Source organism: Homo sapiens, chromosome 20 (assembly GCF_000001405.40).
Source record: "Homo sapiens chromosome 20, GRCh38.p14 Primary Assembly".
NCBI classification, from domain to species: domain Eukaryota; kingdom Metazoa; phylum Chordata; class Mammalia; order Primates; family Hominidae; genus Homo; species Homo sapiens.
In genome coordinates this window covers 29,556,142-29,562,970 of record NC_000020.11, presented here as the reverse complement: position 1 = coordinate 29,562,970, position 6,829 = coordinate 29,556,142, and the positions used below count along the sequence as shown (strand labels likewise).

At 49.1% G+C, this 6,829-nt stretch overlaps 1 long non-coding RNA gene across 1 annotated transcript in view, besides 1 other annotated feature; it reads right to left on the bottom strand.

Annotated features, from left to right (window-relative positions):
- Positions 1-6,829: part of a centromere (Linear centromere model derived predominantly from reads generated in PMID: 17803354. This region does not represent an actual centromere sequence, as long-range ordering of repeats and unmapped WGS contigs is not provided by the model. For details of model production, see http://arxiv.org/abs/1307.0035.) that runs on past both edges of the window.
- Positions 2,496-6,829, bottom strand: part of FAM242B (family with sequence similarity 242 member B) — an 11,757-nt gene continuing 7,423 nt past the window's right edge. Inside the window, exons 3-4 of the long non-coding RNA NR_133643.1 lie at positions 3,211-3,510; positions 2,496-2,630 (exon numbers count right to left, since the gene is read on the bottom strand). This is a non-coding gene — a long non-coding RNA (family with sequence similarity 242 member B). The remainder of the gene's footprint in view (positions 2,631-3,210; positions 3,511-6,829) is intronic.

Below are 6,829 nucleotides of genomic sequence, written 5' to 3'. Positions count from 1 at the left end.
GAGACCAGCCTGGCCAACGTGGTGAAACCTCGTCTCTACTAAAAATACAAAAATTAGCTGGGCATGGTGGCACAAGCCTGTAATCCCAGCTACTCTGGAGGCTGAGGCAGGAGAATCACTTGAACCTGGGAGACACAGGTTGCAGTGATCCAAGATTGCCACTGCATTCCCACCTGGGTAACAGAGGGAGCCTCTGTCTCAAGAAAAATAAAAAATAAAAATAAAAATAAAAAAATAAAAGATTATCTGAAAGAGTATCTGAATCCAGGACTGAGGCCACAGGTAATCTGAGAAAGTATCTTGGAGGAAGGAAAATGGGAGGAAAAGAACATTGTGTGAAGGACTTAAGAAAGGTGACTCAAGGCAAGTGGGGAGGCAAGGGTATCCAGATAAGATTGGCCCCATTGGTCCTGGGTTGATATGACAGGGGTGAGGAAGGGTCCCGGAGGGAGAGATCCTGGGGGTAGCAGCAGATGCTGCAGAGTCTCGGAAAGCATGGCAGGCACTAAGAAGACACGTGGGCTTCCCTCCACCTCATGGACAAGGACCTTCATTTATTCATTCTTTCCTACACTTGACAAATTCTTACTGAGATCTTATTAGGCGCCAGGCACTGTGCTGGGTGCTGAATATTCAGGAATGAGCAAATGGGTCTGGTTCCTACCCTCCTAGAGATTACTGTCCAGTGGGAGAGACTGACAGTAAACATATTAATATGTTACAGTTGGGCCAAGTCTACAAAGGATAGGGTATGATAACAGGTATGATGGGTGGTTCCCTAGGGAGAAGTTTCCCTAGGGAGTGACAGTCACCCAGAGTGTGATGGGTGGAGGTCTTCCTTGCCAGCCCCCTGCTAAGCTTTCGTCCTGGACATTCCTGCATTCCTCTGCACTGTTCATTTAAGAGGAGCATCTCTTCCCTGAGCAAAGGTGGTTCGGGCACACAGCCTGAGCCTGCCAAGGTTGTGGGCCATAAATCAATGCTGGCACTCCCTTGGCAGTGGGCTCTCCTCTGAGCTGCCCAGATGGCAGGCAAGCCTGGGGCACCAGGGGCAGCCAGGCACTCAGGAGGGGGGAGGTGGGGAAGGTGGAGACACAGCTGGGCCCCAGGCTTCTGATGGCAGCTGCCCACTTCTGTCTAAGGGCCCTAGGCGAGGGAAAATGCCAAAGTCCTTCTATTCTAGTCCCAGGGACCGTCTGACTCCCAAGTCAGTCTGGCATGGGGCTGTTGGGATTATTGTTCCCACCCCAGCCAGGGACCAGGGTCTCATAGGCATCCTCTGAGACCAAGGCTCTTGGATGACCTCTTGGGATCACAGTCTGCTCTAACATTCAACCTGAAAGTTCTGCCTGTGGTTTGACCTTCTTTCCTCTTGCTGTAGCCGAGGTGTCTTCTTTCACCCTGCATGAAAGATGAAAGACAGTAGCTCCCCATTTAGTGGGGGCTTTGGGACTGTGTGATATCTCCCTCTGCCTTCACTTTAAGCCTCCCAGAAAAGCAGGATAAAAAGATGCTTTGAGGTCAGTTGGAGAGATGGAACTCTGCCCTCTTGGGGGTTGCCATCCCTCTGCCACCCTCACAGGTGCTGTGACAGAGGGAACATATGTTTCTCCTACCCCAGAGGACAGAGACAACATCTTAGCAGCCACAGCCCCACAGAGCTGGGCTCAGCAGGCCTTGACAGAACTGGAAAGGCAGCCTCTCTCCTGGGCCTGGGCCTGGACTGAGCCTGGGTTGTGGGTGGAAGGGTGGAAGAAAAGCCTGTAGACCCCTCCCAGAAAAGAATCAACAGGCTTGACTGCTCTCCCCACGCTCACTCCCAAACAGTAGAACAGTGGAAAATTCATGGGTTCCAGAACAATAGAGATTTCCTTGGATGTCCTTGTCCTCAGATTCTCTGTGAGAAGTCAGAGTTTACAAGTCCTTAGAGATTCTTTCTCACACGCTCATCATCATACAGATGAGGAAACTGAGATGCAGAGTTCACCCAGGTCTTTTTCAGGTTGTTTTTACTACACCACATTTGCCACATGAACAGAAACTCCCAGAGCTACCACTAAGCAGGATGTATTAGACTCTAAAGGTAGTAGCATAGATGGAGGTTAGATAACAAGTAGAACTTTCTCAGAATAGTAGGTCACAGAAGAAGATGAGAAGCAAAGTAAAGAAAGTGCATTCTCTAAAACAGTAGGGTGGGGGTGGGAGGGATGGAGCCAAAGAATCAGGATAAAATTTTGCAATAAGATAGAAATATAGAGAACACAGGAGAGGGAGCTGACATAGAGCCCAGAGCAAGGACAACTGGGGTGTGGAGCTTCTGGGGTTCTTCATTCAGGACCCCTAGATTTCATCTGTCCCAGGCTTCTGGGTATCACCATTAGTTTAAAGTCAGGCCTTATCTGGGCTGATTCTCTTGGCTTTCTCCTTGTTCTCCCGGGATGGCTTATCTGGCTGCCAGAGTCATTTGCCGTTTCTAATTTATGTTTAAATTAAAGTTCCCACAAACAGAGGTTTAATGTGCTGTTACCAAGAACTCCCAGGCCCCCTGCAGCTCTGGGAAGTTGAAGGGGCTGGGGAGAAGAGGTCAGTCTGTGCGCATCCCATCGAAGCTGATCCCACTGGCATTGGACCTGGAGTGGATAACCCAAATAAGTGTCTCCGTCCTTGCTGCTCCATCCAGAATGGTGATGACAGGGGGCAGGGCAGGGAAAAGCATGCTCACAAAGGGCCTGGGACCAACATGCCTGTTCAGGGGTTTCTGGGTGGCTCTTCACCCTTTTTCAGGATGGCGAGGAGAAGGCAGGGGAAGTGGGCAATGATAAGAGGGCAGGGGGTGGAAAATAAGGAGAGAGCAGGAGGCTCCATTCTTTAACACTTGTGTATGGCGCTCACTGTGTGCTAGCACTGTTCCTGGGCACCTCATAACTACAAATTCAACCTTCTACACAACCTGTAAGGCAGGTGTTATTATCATTAGCCCCATTTTTATAGATGGGGAAACAGAGGCATGCCCAGTATCACACAGCTAGTAAGAGGCAGATCCAAGGAGTCAAGCCAGTGCCGTCTAGCTCCAGATTCCCAGTGTTATGCTGACACTTAAGCCAAGATTTATCTGTCACCCTCCCAATCCCTTGATCACAAGGTGAGGCTTCTCTTTGCCAGAGCAACTGAGACAAAGTGAAGCTCCCATCCTGCTCCCCAGATCTTTACCTCTTTGGGCCGCAGTCTTCTCATCTGTAAAATGAGGATAAGATACTAGGAGGGGTTGAGGGTCCGGGAAGGTTTAATGAGACAGCTTGTCAGTGACCAGCACAGGGTAGGTCCCCAGCAGTGGCTGCTTCCTTCTCTGTAGTCTAACCATGAACCTTCCTGCTGTGCCTTCCTGCACTGCCTCTTAACTCTGCTTTCAAAGGATCTAGAGGCATTGATCCTTGCCCCTTAAAGAAAACCCTCAGGAGAGCGTTGTTCCTCATTCATTTGTCCAAATTCTCTCTCTTCCTCTGGGAAACCCTGAAAAAGAGGGATAATAAAGCTGAACTGGAGCCCCAACCTGCTCTGTCCCCACCTCCTCTGCACCCAGGTGAGCCAGTCAGGGTGGCAACAGAGAATAAATGACACATTCGAAAGTGTTTCACTGAAGGGTTTAGTGATGTGACAGTTTCTAAAGGCATAGACCAGATGAAGAAAACTAATAAGGGCTAGTGTGGCACCAGGATAGAAATATCTCTACCAAAGCCCGATGCCAACTGTGCTCACAGGACACAGGAGAGAGGCCACTCAGCAAAGCTGTGACCATGGAGGAACCACAACCACCACCAGAGCTTCAGGCAGGCAAAAAGGGGGGCTGACAGGGAATGGGGGAAACAAATACCCTGACTCCTCTCTCCCCGTTCTCAGCTGGGACCTCTATTGGCCGAGAGATCAGGGGGCCCAGGTGACACAGTCTGCAGAGGTCAGCCTCCCTGGGCAGAGCAGCACAGAGAACACAGTGAGGCAAACAGAAAACCATCCCCGTCCCATTCCACCCGCGAGTCCCTGCTCTGATACCAAAGCCTTCTCTCTGCTGCTTTATTGCCACCTCTGTCACTGCCTGCAGCCAAACAGTGACTGACAGGGAAGGAGAGTCAAGAGTCCTTCAACGCAAATACTCCAGCTCACAAGGAAGGTGGGATCCAGGCAGAGGGCAGCTTGAGGGAAGAGGGCTGTGTCTGAAGGGCAGCAGGGCAGGGACTGCCCACTCCCAGCATGGAGAGACAAAGAGAAGGACCGCACTGGGGGTGAGGATGTCAAACGGCGATAGTAAATGACTCTCTTTCCTCAGCATATGATACAAATCACTGTGCATCTTCCTTCCTCCTCCCCTCTCTAGACCGGGAGCCCCTGTGGGGAAGGGATTTTGTCTTGTTCATCCTTGACATCTAGCACAGTGCCTCTTAGGGGCATAATCAGAATTTATTGAATAAATAAGCAAATAGATATATAAACGAAGGAACAAACCCATTTGCAGCTCATATGCACAGCCCTGGGCCCTGGTCAGGGAGCACTGTTGAATGAATGACATGCAGCATTCCTACAGAAGTTTTATTTCAATCAGTTCCATCATCTACCACCTCAGGTTTCCTTTCAGCCACTCAGTCATGGGCCACACAGCCCACGTTTGTCTCCACGCTGGCCAGAGGCTGTGCTTTGATAGCACCCACTCAAATGTGCAGTGACCTCATCAGGCTCCTCCTGATGGAGGAATAAGGGGAGTAGCAAGTGACTTCCTTTCTCACAGCAGCCTTTCTGTGAGCTCTTTCTTGAGAGAAATCTTGATCCATGGCAAACCGTCTGTGGTATTCTCGGCTGTAGCCCTTGGCGGGAGATGGGAGGAGGGAATGACAGTGCCAAGGAGGCAGCTGAAGGATCATCACCCTGGAAGCCACAGCTCTGGCTTGCTTTTTCCAGTGGGCCATAAAGACTGAGGGAGGCAGGCGGAAGCAGGGGCCCCAGACTAACAAACTATAGTTTCAAGTGTAGTCCCCATGCAAAGCCCACCTGGTGAAGTGGTTAGACACAGATGCTGGGGCTGGGCTCAGGATCCCTGTTCTACCACCTGTTGGCTGTACAACCTTGGGCAAGATACTTGATTACCATGCCTCAGTTTCTGCATCTTAAAAAATGTGAATAACAGTAATGCCTACTTCACATGGTGGTGAAAAAGTAGATGAGTTAATAGTTATGAGATACAGCCAGGCCTGGTGGCCTGGGCCCATAGTCCTAGCTACTCAGAAGGCTGAGGTGGAAAGATTGCTTGAACCCAGGAGTTCAAGACCAGCCTGGGTAACATAGCAAGACCGCTCCCCCCTTTATTTTTTTGAGATGGAGTTTCACTCTTGTTGCCCAGGCTGGAGTGCAATGGCATGATCTCAGCTCACTGCAACCTCCACCTCCTGGGTTCAAGTGATTCTCTTGCCTCAGTCTCCGGATTCCAGGGATGAACCACCACACCCAGCTAATTTTTGTGTTTTGCATTTTTAGTAGAGATGGGGTTTCACCATGTTGGTCAGGCTGGCCTCAAACTCCTGACCTCAGGTGATCTGTCCACCTCAGCCTCCCAAATTGCTGGGATTACACGTGTGAGCCACTGTCCCTGGCTGCAAGACACCCATCTCTCTAAAAATGAAAGTTTTGAACTATTTAGTAGAGTACATGATCCATGGTAAGCTCTATATAAATTTTGTTACATAAAATTAAGGTTCTAGTCCCATAAACTTTTTTCTGTAATAAACTGCTCAGCCTTAGATACCTCTCATATTTGCTGTGAGAAGTGAACAAATGCATGTGAAAACTGTAATGTGTTTATAATTTTTATTATTTGTCATCAAGATCATGTAAGAGACCTGATTTAGTAGAGGGTGAAGGGATGCGAAAGGGGCTGTCAGTCATCAACTTTTGATTATCTGCCTTGTTAAGGTCCCCTTCTGGTCAACATCATCAGCTCTTTGGCTTGTTCAAGTCTTTTATTGACAATATCCAGGCCTCTCATGGTCCCTCCCACACACAACGGGTGCACAGCAAGGGCTGGAAGGAAAAAGCCTTTGAAAGCAAAACGGGTCCTTCCCTTCCTTAGCCTTGAAGCGGGAATAACCACTAGACAGAAGGCTGTGAGGGAGGACTCTGGCACTTCCACTGTGGCTGCTTTGCCTTTGGGCAGGAGGGGAAACTGATCAGCTCCCTCTGTAAGGCTGCAGGAAGAGATATTGGCATTTGTTATGAAGTGTTAGGAATAAAAACACATACATGGCCGGGTGCAGTGGCTCACGCCTGTGGTCCCAGCACTTTGGGAGGTCGGTGCAGGCAGATCACAAGGTCAAGAGTTTGGGACCAGCCTGGCCAACATGGCGAAACCCCGTCTCTACTAAAAATACAAAAATTAGCCAGGTGTGGTGGCCGCCACCTGTAATCCCAGCTACTCAGGAGGCTGAGGCAGGAGAATCACTTGAACTCAGGAGGTGGAGGTTGCATTGAGCTGAAATCATGCCATTGCACTCCAGCCTGGGGCAACAAGAGCAAAACTCCATCCCGAAAACAAACAAACAACAACATCAACAACAAAAAAAAACAGAAAACAAAAAACAACAACAAAAAAAACCCATACACACATACTTATCCCAGTGTCCAGAGCAAATGTTCTGCCACTTACTGCTATGGGTGTGATTTCAGATAGCTACTTAAACCATGAGTTTTGGTTTTTCTCATCTTCAAAATGGAAATATTGATGCCTAATTCAAAGGGTGAAAATTAATGAACTATAGAAACTCCTTGGTGTATGTCTGGTCCAATAAAT